At 38.6% G+C, this 16613-nt stretch overlaps 1 long non-coding RNA gene across 1 annotated transcript in view; it reads left to right on the top strand.

Annotated features, from left to right (window-relative positions):
- MIR548XHG (MIR548X host gene) overlaps nucleotides 1–16613 on the top strand; it is a 198548-nt gene that overhangs the window by 169717 nt on the left and 12218 nt on the right. The window contains exon 3 of the long non-coding RNA NR_109925.1: nucleotides 476–569. This is a non-coding gene — a long non-coding RNA (MIR548X host gene). The remainder of the gene's footprint in view (nucleotides 1–475; nucleotides 570–16613) is intronic.

The following is a 16613-nucleotide window of genomic DNA, read 5'->3' as shown; positions in this document are numbered from 1 at the left end:
TTCTGGAAAGATAAAGGGTGATGTTTAGAGAGTTAATGTATAATGTATAATGTATAAATGATCCTGGGGTGGGGAAAAAGTTGTCATTATTGCTGACAGCAAGGCCTATATCTGTGTAAGAAATGGGAATAGCCTGAAAGACTGATTAGAATTGAGATCAAGATTACTGGAGAAAAAAAGTCAAGATAGTAAGAGTCCATTTGATTGGAAGGATCATTGTTATGGACATATAAGACATAAATTGTAACAGCAGTGGTATTGAGGAGATGGCAGTGACTCAGGTACAAAAATCTTCAAGAAAGCCTTGGAATGTGTTTTTGAGTCGGAAAAAGGGGGTTATTGGGAAAATGACTGCAAAAGGAAAGATTTTTGGCTGGAATTGTCAGGTGACCTGAGATTCAAAACACGAGGAAAAGAGAAAGGTCTGACATACAATAAAGAGCAATAACTTTTTCTTCCTCTCTGAGTCCTACAGTATGAAGAATGTAAGATAGAAAAAAACATTAGCATTTGAGAGGATTGAAAGAGAAGCATTCTCAGCAGAGCCAAGATTCACTTAGAACAAAAGGGTAAGTAGGTACTTAATGTAATGTGCATGTGATTATTATTTTTATTTTTGAAACACTGAGCCTTTGGAATGATGTCTTCATTTCAGATTGTTTTTGCATTTCATAAGGAAAGAAAAACTATTTTAACAAAGTAGATGCCAGACCTATCAGAATGAAAGAGAAACGTAGGTGTCCATATCTAACCATATAAAAACATCTCTTTGTAATAATGTGCTTTGACATTTTTGATATATGAAGTGCTTGTGAGTCATTAATCAACTGTCTTTAATTAAGAGATTCAAAAAGGAATTGAACAAACAGCAGAGAATAGAAATAAAACCTCACATCCTTCCTCAGTCATTTGCAGGGGGTGGTAGGTGTAGGAATAAAATTCAAATGTTTATGACATATTGGCTCTGGATGCAAACTTATGATTATCATGCTTTCATGTTGGGGGATTCAAAATGTATTTTAATCATGTAATTGCTCAGTTTTGATTCTACCACTGAATACAGTTTCCTGAAAATCAATAGTAATCACCATTACTCTCTTTCTCTAGTTTTCAATGCATACATTTACTTCCTTGAAACAAACATCTCTCTACGACCTCTTTGTCACATTGATGAATGGTGTTAAAAGAAAGAATAATGTATTTAATAAATCCCAACATTCAGTGAAATCGAGTTCTTTGTAAATTACTTTGGCTATCTTATATTCGTCTAGCAAAACTTAAATAATAGTTGTTTAGCAATACATTTAACAATTTAATTATTTATCTTCATATACAGATTATTGAACCACACTACTATTTGCTTCTCTTAAAAACAGGTATTTTTTTCTTTAAATAAAATGATACTGCAGGACACTGACACACAACTCTCTTTCCTTTAGACTAAGTGCTAAGTGACCCATATAACCATCTCAAAATTTCTTAAACAACTTGCTGTAAAACTAGATAAATAAATGTCTTGTGCAATAGCCTTGCAGAGAGGTTATGTTAGAGATGAAGCAAATTAGAATTGAAAAAATACAGAATATAATAGCTGCTGCGTGATTATAAATGGAGGGCAGTGCCTGCCTGTCTTGGGAGCTGAACCAATCAATCTGAGAGTCTTTGAAATTATGAATGTTGTTCCTTTCAGTGTGAACCTCAGCACTTTTTTCAGGTTTTAGCACTGACATTTTTGCCTCACAGTTATTTAGCTATAATTATTGTTTCAATAAATCTAGGCAATGTATTTAATAAATAAACCCACAGATAAAATGTCATTCAAATTAATTGGTGGTTATTCTCAGTCATTGCGAGAGGGAGCCTCTCTTGTGGGAGCCTCTTTTGGATTTTTTTTTCCTTTCTTTCTTTTTTTTTTTTTTTTTTTTGCTGAGCAAACCAACATGAGATCAATTTAACAATTACGTGTTGAGTGTCAGTTTTTTTCAGGTCACTAGATGCAGCACATACTCATGCCTTAAAAGAGCTTCTTATCTTAGAGATAGGAAACATATAAAGGAGATTTCCACATCCGAGCCTCCATTGTCAGTCATCTGTATACATGTAAATCACTTGGTGCCTTCTTTACACGGATTTAACTAATCTCTCATCCTAGATCCCTGTGAGCAGGATAATTTTTGTTTTCACTTGGTTTATTCAACCACATTGAGAACTATGTCTTGGGTACAAAACAGTTATTATTTGCCCTACAAATAGTTCCGTATATATTTGAATGAAGGAATGGCAATACAGTTTGGATTCTCCAAGAAGCACATTATGAGAGAAAGATAACACATAGAGCATTTATTGGAGAAATGTTTAGGATTAACACCTGCAGAAGAAAAAAGGAGGCAGGATTACGTGGGGGGAAGAGTTGTGCTGTGATACAATTTCAATGAAGTGCTCAGACATTCCTCTACAAGGAGCTCTTGTGCTCAGATGACACTTCAAAGTTGTCTGCATTTGGAGTAAGGAGGTTGGATGTTCATATCCCCATTCTGATCAGTCACTGATGCAGGAAACAGGGAATGGGCGTGCCTTACCCCATTCTGATCTGTCACTGACTGATGCAGGTAACAGGGAATGGGCGTGCCTTACCCCATTCTGATCAGTCACTGATGCAGGAAACAGGGAATGGCGTGCCTTACCCCATTCTGATCAGTCACTGATGCAGGAAACAGGGAATGGCTTGTGCCTTACCCCATTCTGATCGGTCACTGATGCAGGAAACAGGGAATGGCGTGCCTTACCCCATTCTGATCAGTCACTGATGCAGGAAACAGGGAATGGCTTGTGCCTTACCCCATTCTGATCAGTCACTGATGCAGGTAACAGGGAATGGCGTGCCTTACCCCATTCTGATCAGTCACTGATGCAGGTAACAGGGAATGGCGTGCCTTACCCCATTCTGATCAGTCACTGATGCAGGTAACGGAATGGGCGTGCCCTAGGCAAGGCTTTGCTTTCAGATGAAGCAGGGCTTAAATTTGAATGACATGAGGGCTATTTTATTCCTTCCTGGGACTCCAGATGGCGCCTCATAGGATCTCACACAAGTGAATCATTTATATCATGGGTTCGTCATGTTTTTAGCATGTTAACAGATATGCAAAGTGTAATGGAGAATCAATGAAAAGAAAAATAATGTATGAATGGAAATATTAAGAAAGGCTTCGTGCACATTGAATAACAGGCATGAATACAATGGGTGCATATCACAGAGAGAATTTCTTATTAAGTAGATAGTATGAGAAAAGGCAATAAGGGGCAAATAAGCAGGAAAACCGAGAAAACAAAATTAGCTTGCCTTAACTGGTGTATGAAACGAAATTTTAGAGAAAAAAAACAGTAATTATAAATAGGAGTTACATGAGATAACTGAATTTCAAATCTATTCATCTCCGTTTTGTTTTAATTTTCTGTAATTTTAATAAAATAACAGCTTTATTGTACTTTTATCTACAATATTTTAAGGTCAATAGACCACAAATAACAAACTTCCTGTAATGATAATTATGGTAATCAGGATAAAAAGTAATGGAAGAGGCCGGGCGCGGTGGCTCACGACTGTAATCCCAGCACTTTGGGAGGCCGAGGTGGGCGGATCACGAGGTCAGGAGATCGAGACCATCCTGGCTAACACGGTGAAACCCCGTCTCTACTAAAAAATACAAAAAAATCAGCAGGGCACAGTGGCGGGCACCTGTAGTCCCAGCTACTCGGGAGGCTGAGGCAGGAGAATCGCTTGAACCCGGGAGGCGGAGCTTGCAGTGAGCCGAGATCGCACCACTGCACTCCAGCCTGGGCGACAGAGCAAGACTCCGTCTCAAAAAAAAATAAGTAATGGAAGAAAGCCAAGAGACAATGAAGAAGTGAAACATACCTTGGTAATTGCATTCCACAGGTGACAAGAAGAAGTGCATACAAAGTTTTTAGTCTGAGTGTTAGAGAACATTAGTGTAACATCTGAACCAAATTTCCAGGTTCAATTTCCAGAGGTCACCCTTTCACCTGAGGCTGCATGTAACTGCATCTAAATCTAATGAAAGTCCTAGAAATTGACAGATCTATTGCAACCAGAACTGGACCAGCACTTCGTTAGTAGTACAGCCAGTCCAGAACCTGACTCTGCTAAGAGCTTAACTCCTAGACCTAACTATTTTAAAAATTGCTAAGTCTCAACATGCCTCATCTATTGTTATGTTGGATTCCTTCCCAAAATTTAAATCTTTCCCTCAATCCTCAATCCCATTCTGTACACCTTTACCCTTACAGACTTTTTCCTGATTTCTTAATCCAGTGCTCTGTGTTTTGGGGATCCTTATAACTTGGGAATATTATTTCAACTAAAATGAAACCTGACCTCAATGACCAAAACAACTTCTTGGATAAAAACTATTGGGAGATTGAAATGACCAATCTGTCTTCCACTTAATGCAGTTACAATTGAAGACATGCCCTACATTTTTATTAGCATGACTTTTTTACCATTTTCCAAATGCACCATGCTTCCCCTCCTCTAGGCTTTCTCATTAGCCATTTTCTCTGCCAAAAACCTTTCTCCTTTTCACATGCTAGCTTCTTCTCACCCTTTATTTACCTAACTCATTCATTCCATTCAAACTTCAACTTTGATGGAACTTCCTCTTGAGTAATTGCCCTTATATCTCAGGATTAGGTTTCCTTTCTATATGGACAGGAACACTGCTCAGAAGTTAATTGATATTCCTTTTTTTCTTTATTTTAATTGAGACAGAGTCTCACTCTGCCTCCACCTCCTGGGTTCAAGCGATTCTCCTGCCTTGGCCTCCTAAGTAGCTGGGATTACAGGTGTACACAGCCACGCCCAGCTAATTGATGTGCCTTTTACTTCTGAGTAAATTTTGCTAATAGTCTGGAAAATAACTCGGAGAAGAGGAAGACGATTTCATATAAATACATTTCTACACATGTGACAATAATAACATCTTGATTCCCTGAGGGTAGTATATAAATCTGTGAATTACAAATAGGTTCTGACTGAATTCACAGTTCAATTATGGTCTGAGCTGGAAAAACTCAGCTACCTGCATACCCAAACCTGGGTCCCTGTGCTGAAGGGAACTTGAGCCTTCCATGATCACAGACTGCACTATGGAGAAACCACACAGGACTTTGCATCCTACTTAAACTCTAGGATTGTATGGGAAATTTGGCTTCAGTGTTTGTGCCAAGGATCTTTGGTGAAAATAACAGAAGGGTGTATCACCATATAGATAAGTGATAAACTGGTTGGCTGGGAAGTACACATTTGGGGGATTCATTGCTAAAAGTGAGGTCATCTCTACAGCTTTAATACCCTAAGCATTGTGGCAAAGGAGAGAAAAGCTCTCCCCAGGAGAGAATGTTGGGAACCTGTTCAGTTTGATGTCCATGCAAGGCATAATGAGGTGAAGAGGTCTATGCTAAGTTGAGAGCCTGGAATGCAATTCATTCACTTATCAGATGTGGCCTCTGACATGGCTGTCCTAGTCAGATTAAACCCTTGCTCACCTAAGACCAAGTCTCCAATGCTGTCTTTGGGTCCAAGCCTTCCACATAGCATCTTTGATTCTAGGGGCTTACGGCAGGTAGATACTACTAATGGACTCAGTCTGAGAAAGGGTTGTATGGCAGTGAGTGTGTGAGTGTGCCAGTGGACAGGAGTGTTGTCCAACAAAGCCTGAACTTTCAGATGAGTACAGCTTCCAAGATTGCTGATGCATTGAGGATGTCTCTGGTTACCTTGGGGAGAGACTTGCCCTATTTGAGCATGGCCCTACTAAATCAGCCATCCCTTGATTGTTTTCAGCCACTGTGATGTCCATTTAGGAGCAATCTTGCTACCTAGATTATGATTCATTTGACATTCAGGCCTTAGGAAAGTCTTTTAAAGGGCCCGCTTATATACTTCAGAACTAGGACCATTGAGGGGTCAATGTAAAGAGCAGAACCTAAAACAATCAAGATTCAGCTCACCCCATATGAGGAACAGCTGTTTCTGCCTGTATTGAAACCATCTGCTTCCCCTGCTCCAGGCGGCACAGGGTGGGGAACAGAGCCAACAAGTGGTTTAGTCTACCATGCCAGGAGAAAGGATCCCAGGGTCTCCAGCCATGTCAGGACCACTAATGGGTTTGGCGAGATTATATGGCTGCTTGTTGGTTCCTAAATCTCATCCCACCTCCCTGAGAAGATGTCCTGATAGGTCTGGATGATCTTCTAAAGCACTCCTGAGGTCAATTAAATATTCCTTTTATTCTTTCCCAGATGTGCTTAGGACTTACCTAGAGCCCACAGGTTAATTCAGTTAGCCACGGAAATACTAGTCTCTTTACTGAAAAAGCCACATCTTCATTTCAAACTGAAATGTGAAACTTCTTTTCTGTTTTGGTGTTGGTCCAGCTCACATCTGACATGACGCAGAACTTTACGGATTTCTGATAAAAGGATTCTTGGTTTGAATTTTAGATATGAAGCCTCTGGGCTATAAGACTTTGTGAAATTTCTGGAATGTTCATGCTTCAGTTTCATCATCTATAAAATGGTACTAACTGGAGAATTTCTATGCTATGGTTGTGTAAGAATGAAATGAGATTGTTAATAGCAAGTGTTAGGCACAGGATGTCACAAATTTTAAGAGCTCAAGATACATTTGTCAGTATTCCTCTCCTCTCTCTGTTAGAAGATGTCTCAGGGACAGGATTTGTCAAAGTCACAACTAAGAGGGACTGTCTATAGCATACTAGACGAGACCAGGAAAGACACATAAATTGTGGGTCCTAGGACAAAATTAGAATACAGGTCCTTTGCCAGGCATGGGGAAGTCATCCTCTCCTAACCAAATGCCCACCTTCCCAACCCAAAAATTAGGGGTAGGCGAGAGCTCTCACCAATTCACCTAACCAATTATGTCCTGACACAACCAGCTTAGGCCATGAACAGCTCTTTTCTAACTCTGAACCTTCCCATACATAAGACCCCTTGCCAGTGGTGGAACATAGGTGTTCCTCATAGACACAATCCTGTCACTGCCCTAGGTGGACAGCCACAGCAGCCACAGCAGTGGATAGGGTAAGGAAGGCCAGGTAGACCTGGGGCACCTGGAAATGGGGAATGGATGGCTGAGAACCTGTCCTGGGAAGGCAGAAAGGTGGCAGTATACAGGACTGCATCGCGAGCTGTGGCTCCAGGCCCCCACTGGATCAAGTGCATGCTCCATTGTCCCATTTGACTGACTTACAGAATTCAGAGATAAATTTATTAAGAATTTCAAGACAGCCACTCCAGAGCATTAAACCTCAAATGCTGAGCCCTTTGAAGTGTTGGGCCCTGTGCAACCTCACTGAGCACACACTGTGAAGCCAGCCCTAGGAGAAACACAACCTTTCCAGGCCAAGGGCTCTCAGATACCAGGAGAGGATTTAAAGAGACCCAAGATCTGTAGGACATTCAAGTTTAAGCACAAACTGAGAGAAAATAAACAGAGGGACTCAGAGCTCAGGCTGTGGGCAAAGATGAGAAAAGAGATTCCCTCCCGAGAGGCATTGCTTCTCCTGTAATTCTGTGTCTCTTTTGTGAGGAGCAGGGAGTTATCAGGGCCATCTTTACAAGAGCATCTACCTCCCAGCACCAGGAAGCCACCTGTATCTTACAATTCATAATGAAAACAATATAAGCTAAGAGTCTTGACTCTACAGAGGGAAGTGATGGTGGCTGGGACTGGGAAGAGCAGACTCCAGAAATGCTTTCAGCTGCCTGTGTTTCCGAGAGCTGGAGACATGGAATTTGGAGTTAGGGTGTAGTGTGGGGCATAAGGACTCTGGAGATAGCACAGGTCCTCAATGCAAGCCAAATCTGGTTCCCACCTATCACAAAACACAAGCTACTTAGAAACTTCTCATGGAAATTCACATTTCCTAAAACAGTCATAGCATACCGCCTTCTAGTATGTGGACTTCTTCCAGTATAACTACCTGACAATAAATCTAGTCACAAGGCCAAATTTGCCATTCAGCACTTCCAGTGGCTCACTCTCTGTCTTTGGACAGATCCCTGGAAAAGTGTCATATGGTACAGCCTGACTTTCACCAGGGACTTGCCACCCAGAGGGTTGGTCTGTGGAGCATTTCTCCATGCAGTAATCCTTCCTGGAGAGGATGTCACCACCATGATTCCACCAGCATCCATAGGCAGCCAGTTGCCTCAATATCATTTGGAGACACCTTTTGACCCACTGGCTGCAGATCATAAATGTTATCTTTGTCCAGGTACTTTCATAGCCCTAATCCCTATGTCATTTGTTCCTTTGAGTCCTTCCAGTACCCTCCAGCATCATATCCACATTCTGCTGCTTAGAAATAACAGTGATATTAATTTATGTGGATGCACTTGCTGTTATTTTACCAATAATAAACTATCACCTTTTAATTTTTACTGGATAGCAAATGTGCATTCCTTTCTTGGTCAAGTTTTTATTATTCCTGGTTTGTTTGCCCAAGTTCTGCATATTCTTCTCCACTAGCTACATTTTCAATACATCTGTAAACAAACCTCATTCATCTCTGACCCTTTGGTTTTGAATAGAATTTCCTCATTTCCAGTTTTTGATGGTTGAGCTGCCTTCTTTATCTGGCTGGAGAACATGTTGAGGATATGAAGGCTCATCCTGATCTAGGTCTTTGAGCGTGACAAGGCTGTGTCTGCAGTTTCCCTGGAAACTCTGTTGGGTGGATCCATAAAGGCAACTTGCCACATTAAACATTAAATTCCCTGAAAGCAGAAAAAGTATGTTTACCATTGTATCACCAGGGCCCAGAACAATGCAATGATGATCATTAGTGTTAAATAGGGGGTAAGTAAATGGTAGAATTTGAAGCTGAGTAAGAACAAAATAAAAATTATAAGTTAATTATGCAATGAGCTGAGTTTGAAATGAGTCAAGTTATCAATTTGGACGTGTTTCATAGCCAATAAGGAAATGCAGATCTAATCTTGGTGGGAGGTTAGTAACAGAGATTGATATTTGCAGAATATCCTGGGATCCATCTGCATAGTGGTTCGATGAGACAAAAGTGTTGGGTAAAATTATAGCAGAAAATAAAGTCTAGGACCAGCTGTATGCTCAGACCTCTATATGGGCTTGATTGTAATAGGCATCAGTATCTGATATTTTTGCACTGTGCTCTTACCTCTTTATACATGTTTCTTTCCTTTTATTCATTGTTACTGACTACTATTATATGTATATGTATTTATTACTGTTCACCATCTCCTATCACTCTGCAATAAAGTAGGATAATAAATAAAACAAATATAGAGAAAATGGAAATAGCCATTGACTGATACGGTAAAAGAACTAGAATTAGATCAAGACAGGAAAAGGCAAGTTTCAAAAAGCAGGGTGAACAAATACTGCAGGGATATCCATGAATGAGAACTGAGAGGCAAGCATGGGGTTTTATCTTAGGAGTCATTAGTAAACCAGGAGAGCAGCCATAGTGCACTGGCCCAGGTCAGTCATGGCAGTGAGGTAGAATTAAGCTATTCTGGGACAAAAGGCTTGCAGCAAGTGTATGTTTGAACTGACCATCCTGTGCAAGTGTATTAAGGTTTTCTAAATTTGTCCAGATGAGAAGCATGTTTGATCCTGTACTGCGGGCAGAGCTGAGCGTATCAGCAAGGGTCAAGTGATAAAAGCAGACATACCAGGAGCAAAAGCCAAATAATTTAATTTGTGACCCTGGTCTCCCTGGGAAAAAGTTTTCCTTTCTACTTATAGCAAACGGACTTTTACGTTCACTGCAGAGAACTATCTTCATACACAATGTAAATGTTACAAATTCATTGAAAATATAATTCAAAGAACATCTCCTCTTCATGTAAAGTTGGCAGTGTGACCTCAAAGTCTTTTCAATGCCTGTAAAGGGAGACATTTTTTGGAAAGTTTCCATTTCTGGGTTAATTTAAAATGCTCATTTTCTTTATCAAGATTCTTGTTCATGTCAGTACATGATTTTAATGATTTGACCTCTTTTCATTTCTGGCCCTGATACTCACTCTGTTGTCATTCATGGGTGGTTTTTCTTTATTCATTAAGTACTTAGATCTTTAAATTGTAGACATATTACTTTCATTATAGAAAATACAATTTATTCAAAACCACATATTGCTATAAGTTAAATTTTTAGTAGAAAAATAGTCCAAGAATTAGTTGTATGATGATGGTGTCTGAAATTGTATTTCCCAAAATGTAGTTCGTACAGCAAATAGTCTTTTGCTAAGAGTTTATTTTGTAAGTAATATGGAAGCCTGGTGAGAGACTAGGAGACAGGTAAAGGAGGATCAGCAACAAAAGGTATATTACTGAGCCAGGAACCACTGCAGATCACTCGGGTTCAATGCCAGTGAGAACCTATGTGGAAAATATCTCAGAACTATGGTCCTGAGGGACAGGTAAGTGTGGTTTTTATTCACTCACATTCATCCTCATTGGTTGAGGTTTGCTACTGCAATCATTAAGCCCTTGGCACTTCCAAACTGTCCTGCAGGCAGATTGATCTTGATCATACAGACAGAGAAAGCTGCGCGACAGAGATATAGAAATACACAGTAGAAAACCACTGGCATATAGGAGGACTTCCCCAAAGTTGCCATTATTCTCTGTAGTGGGCTAAGGAGATTTCAGTGAAGCATTAAGTGTATCACCTGAAGTCTACACCTTGTATCATTTAGATCTCATGGCCAACATTCAATCCACTCTGCCCTTCACTGATTCACCAATATGATAGACAGCTATGATTCTTAAGAAGATAAGAACTATAACAAAAGAATTAGTCAAACTGAAGTTGAATGTGGTACAGTTAATCTCGTGATAAAACTGATATTTATTACCTCTTTCTTCTACCACTTCTTTTAAGGTCCCTTCATATTTGGGCAACACATGTGCTGGTCTAGACTGCAAGCCTAGTCAGATAACATAGACCTTCAACAGAGTGCAAAAGAATTAAATGAGTCCTTAGTTACCATGCCCTTGCCAGGTCCTGGTTGCTGTAATTTCCTGCTTAATGTTATTATTGGGCATGGAGACATCATTAGGCACCCAGGTGAATGCCTTGAGTGATCAACATACTCTTTTCCTATTTTCATTGTATAATAGTGCCTCTAGCTCTCTGTAATAATTAATATAAAAATTCCAGACATGATAATAGTAATTATTGTCTAAATCTCTTACAGGCAGCCACTGTTATATGCTAAATGGAAATCTTACAATGTTCTCTTATAGAACCACCATATTCTTTCAAGAACCAGAGCCTTAAATCCAAATATGCCTCTGGTTGCAGAGAGAAACACACTAACTATTCAAGTGACTCACTGGGAGTGATGGTGAGATTGGCTGTTCCTTTCATATTTTGGTTCTAAGAGACTTGTAGTCTAGATATTGAAGACATGGGCCTATAAAATGATAAATATTCTGCCACTTTTAAGATTCTAAAAGAGTGTATTTGGGAAGTGATCCCAAGAAGTACCTCAAAAGAGTGGGGATAATAAAGAAGGAAATCCAATAAATAGGACATTAATGCTGGGGACAAATTGAGCTCAACCCTGCTAGAGACTCTCTGAGAGACTGTGTAGAACACACCTCAACTGTCAGTCTGAAGGTACAGGAAGCTAAAGTATAATACACTAAATTCCTACATTGTGGCACTTCCACTGTATCCTGGGCACAAGTTGATCTTGCTCTTGTAGCTAGAGAAAGCCCTCAGGAAAAGACAAATTTTCATGACGTAGAAAGTTATTAGCATGTGTAGTAGCTGTCCCCCAAAGATGTAGGTAACCTCTGGTGTGGCCAAAGGAAAAGAGGTGAGTACTGACTGCAGTACATTGATAGCTAAACTATTAGGTTGGTGCAAAAGTAATGGCAAAAATGGAAAAATAAAATAAATAAATAAATAAATAAAGTGTACACCATAAGAGAACAAGATAAGCTTCAAGAGATCCGTGCGATTCCATTCCCATAGGATACAGTGAACCTTCTCACACACCAACTACACGAATGGCAAAAATACCATTACTTTTGCACCAACATAATATCAAGAGTAAACCTGACATGCATGCATGGTTTATATGTCCCTTGGCAAATAAAGTATATGATATTATTGTAATGGTGACTGAAGAATTTATAAAATGGTAATAAAGTTTGATAAAGAGAATAGTAAACCAAGCTGGGACATCCAGAACAGAAGTTTATGGATCTCAGTGTAGAGAGAGGAGTACTAAGAAAGAAAATGGGCAGGAGAATTCTGTAACTCCACATTGGTGCTAGCCAAACATCCCACTCTATCACTGAGTTCAGACATGCTGCAATTGGTACAGGTTCCCTTGTGAGGCAGGGATTCTTGTGTTGAGAATTCAATGAAGTTGTTTTTGTTTATTTCTAGAGAAGTTGATTAGAAAGATCTTCTTTAGAATGTGATTCTAGGTCAATGCTTTGGTGCAGAGAGGTAAAACAGTTTTGAACGCATTTCACTTGATTCTTTATTACCTCCTCCTTCTTTGTCACACAAACTGGCTAAAATTCATTTTAATTGTGCAATTTACTGTTCTATGGTCATTTAGTAACAATATGATAATCATAAATTAAAAACATTTGAAGCTTTCATATGCGTATATACATTCCATATCCAGAAAGGAAGGCAATATCAAAATTGAGAGTAACAATTCCTCCCTATTTGGAACATTCACATTCCTACAGATGAAAAGAAGTTCCTGTGTGATCTGAATAGTCAGACTACTGGGACAAGAGTGAGGCTGTGAGGTGGATAGCTTTCCTGCTGGTCTGGCATGGGAGCTGACGTAGCTCCCATCCTTCACCCTGATAAAGCCATCTAATTAAGAGCTCCAGGAGTCACCTTCATCAAGGCTAAGACCTCTGCCCAACATTGGTTATTACATTTACCCACCTGCTTTAGCTACAACTGATGCCTACCCAGAAATACCTCCCCTATTGGCTTGGAGCCTGAATCATCAACTGAGTAAATAAACTACTTGGGAAAAATAAAATAAATAAATAAATAAAGTGTACACCACAAGAGAACAAGATAAGCTTCAAGAGATCCCTGTGATTCCAATCCCATAGGATACAGTGAACCTTCTCACACACCAAGTATACAACTACTACAACTAGGATCTGGGAAACCCAGTGTACAAAGATGCTCTATAACTAAGGAACTCATACTGAGTCTTCAACCCTAAAAGCACCAAGAATCAAATTAGGCTAAAATAAACTACAAACACTAAAGTCAGATCCTTCAGAGGGGAAAAAAAGCAATAAAAAAAAGTCCAATCAAAAATAAATTCAAGAACAATGTGAAGAAATAGTCTACCCAAATAAGAAAGAACCAGAATGTTAAGTCTGGTAATATGACAAAACAGAGCTCTATAACACCTCCAAAAGATCACACTAGCCCCCCAGCAATGGATTCAAATCAAGAAGAAATCTCTGAAATGCCAAAGAATTCAGAAAGTTAATTATTAAGCTACTCAAGGAGATACTGTAGAAAAGTGAAAAGCAACTTAAAGAAATTAAGAAAAAAATTCAGGATATGAATAAATTTTTCTCCAGAGAAATAGATATCATAAAGAAAAAAGTAATAGGAATTTCTGGAAATGAAATACACACTTAAGAAAAAAAAAAATGCAGTGGAAAATTTCAACAATAGACTAGAACAAGTAGAAGAAAGTATTTCAGAACTTAAACACAAGGCTTTTATTAACCCAATCAGTCAAAGGCAAAGAAAAAAGAAATAATAAAATAAACAAAGTCTCCAAGAAATAAAGGAATACATAAAACAGCCAAACCTAAAAATAATTGGTGTTCCTGAGAGAGAAGTGAAGTCTGAAAATTTGGAAAACCAATTTGAGGGAATAATGGAGAAAAACTTCCTTGGCCTTGCTAGAGATCTAGACATCCAAATACCAGAAGCACAAAGAACTCCTGGGAAATTCATTGCAAAGAGATTATCACCAAGGCACATAGTCGTCAAGCTATCTGAAGTCAAGATGAAGTAAAGAATCTTCAGAGCTGTGAGACAAAAGCATCAGGTAACCTATAAAGGAAAACCTATCAGACTAACAACAGATTTATTAGCAGAAACCTTACAAGCCAGAAGGAATTGGGGTCCTATCTTTAGCCACCACAAACAAAATAACTGTCAGTCAGTAATTTTATATCTAGAAAAACCAAGCTTCATAAATGAATGACAAACTTGGTTTTGCTTGTGTTTTCAGAGAATCAAATGCTAAGGGAATTTTCCACTACCAAACCAGAACTATAAGAAATGTTAAAAGGAGTTCTAAATCTTGAAACAAAAGCTCGGTACATGCCAAAATAGAATCTCCTTAAAGCATAAAACTCACAAGGCCTATAAAACAGTAACAGAATGATAAAAAGAAAGTATCTAGGCAACAACTAACATGATGAATAGAACAATATCTCACATCTCAATATTAACATTGAATGTAAGCGGCCTAAATGCTGCACTAAAAAGATACAGAATTGGCTGGGTGCAGGGGCTCACACCTGTAATCCCAGCACTTTGGGATGCCGAGGTGGGCGGATCACGAGGTTAGGAGATCGAGACTATCCTGGCTAACACAGTGAAGCCCAGTCTCTACTAAAAACTCAAAAGAATTAGCCAGGCGTGGTGGCACATGTCTGTAATCCCAGCTACTCGGGAGGCTGAGGCAGGAGAATTGCTTGAACCCGGGAGGCGGAGGTTGCAGTGAGCTGAGATAGCACACTGCACTCCAGCCTGGGTGACAGAGTGAGACTCCATTTTAAGAAAAAAAAAAAAAAGATACAGAATGACAAATTGAATTAAAAACTGACAACAAAATATCTGCTGTCTTCAAGAGACTCACCTAACACATAAGGACTCACATAAACTTAAGTCTAAGGGGTAGAAAAATATATTTTACACAAGTGAAAACCAAAAGCGAGAAGGAGTAGCTATTCATATATCAAACAAAACAGACTATAAAGCAACAATAGTTAAAACAAAAAAGACAAAGAAGGGCATCAAATCATGATAAAAGGATTAGCACAACAAGAAGATATTATAATCCTAAATTTATGTGCACCTAATACAGGAGCTGCCAAATATATAAACAATTACTATTAGACCTAAGAAATGAGACAGATAGCAACACAATAATAATGGGGGACTTCAATACTCTGCTAACAGCACTAGACAGATCATCAAGACACAAAATCAACAAAGAAACAGTGAACTTAAACTATACCCTGGACAAATGAACTTAACAGATATTTACCAAACGTTCTTCACAACAACTGCAGAGGAGACATTCTTCTCATCAGTGCATGGAACATTCTCCAAGCTCTACTAGATGCCAGGCCACAAAACAAATCTCAATAAATTTATGAAAATCAAAATCATATCAAGTATCTTCTCAGACTACAGTGGAATAAAACTGGAAATTAACACCAAAAGGAATCTTCAAAATTATACAAATACATGGAAATTAAATAGTCGGCTCTTGAAAAATTTTGGGATTAACAATGAAATCAGGATGGAAATTTTAAAAAATTATTTGAATTGAATGATATTAATGACAAAACTCATCAAAACCTCTGGCATACAGCAAAAGTGATGCTAAGAGGAAAGTTCATAGCATTAGATTCCTACATCGAAAAGTCTGAAAGAGCACAAATAGACAACCTAATGTCACACCTCAGGGAACTGGAGAAACAAGAACAAACCGAAACCCAAACCAGCAGAAGAAAAGAAATGACAGAGATCAGAGCAGAACTAAATGAAATTGAAAAAAATATATACAAAAGCTAAATGAAACAAAAGGTGGTTCTTTGATAAGATAAACAAAATTGATAGACTAATAGTGAGATTAACCATGTAAAGAAGAGAGAAGATTTAAAAAGCTCAATGTTAAACGAAAATGGAGATGTTACAATGCCACAAAAATACAAAAGATCATTCAGTGCTACTATGAAAATCTTTACATACACAAACTAGAAAATCTAAAGGAATTGGATAAATTTCTGGCCGTATACAACCCTCTTAGATTAAATCAAGAAGAAATAGAAATCTCGAACAAACCAGTAACAAACAGTGAGATTGAATCAGTAATTTAAAAAATTCCCAACAAAAATAAATGTCCAGAACCAGGTGGATTCACAGCTGAATTATACCAGACATTCAAAGAAGAATTGGTACGAATTCTACAGAAACTATTAAAAGAAAAACAAAAACAAAACAAAACAAAAAAAAGAGAAAGAGAAAATTCTCCCTAAATCATTTGTTAAAGCCAGTACCACCATGATAGAAAACCGGGAAAGGACATAATAGAGAAAAGAAAACTACAGAGCAATATGCTTGATGAACACAGATGCAAAAGTCCTCAACGAAATACTAGCTAACCGAATCCAACAGTGTATCTAAAAGATAACACAACATGATCAAGTGGGTTTCAGATCTGGGATGCAGGGATGGTTTAACATATGCAAGTCAATAAATGTAAAA

Source organism: Homo sapiens, chromosome 21 (genome assembly GCF_000001405.40).
Source record: "Homo sapiens chromosome 21, GRCh38.p14 Primary Assembly".
NCBI lineage: Eukaryota > Metazoa > Chordata > Mammalia > Primates > Hominidae > Homo > Homo sapiens.
This window is presented reverse-complemented; position numbering and strand designations above follow the sequence as displayed.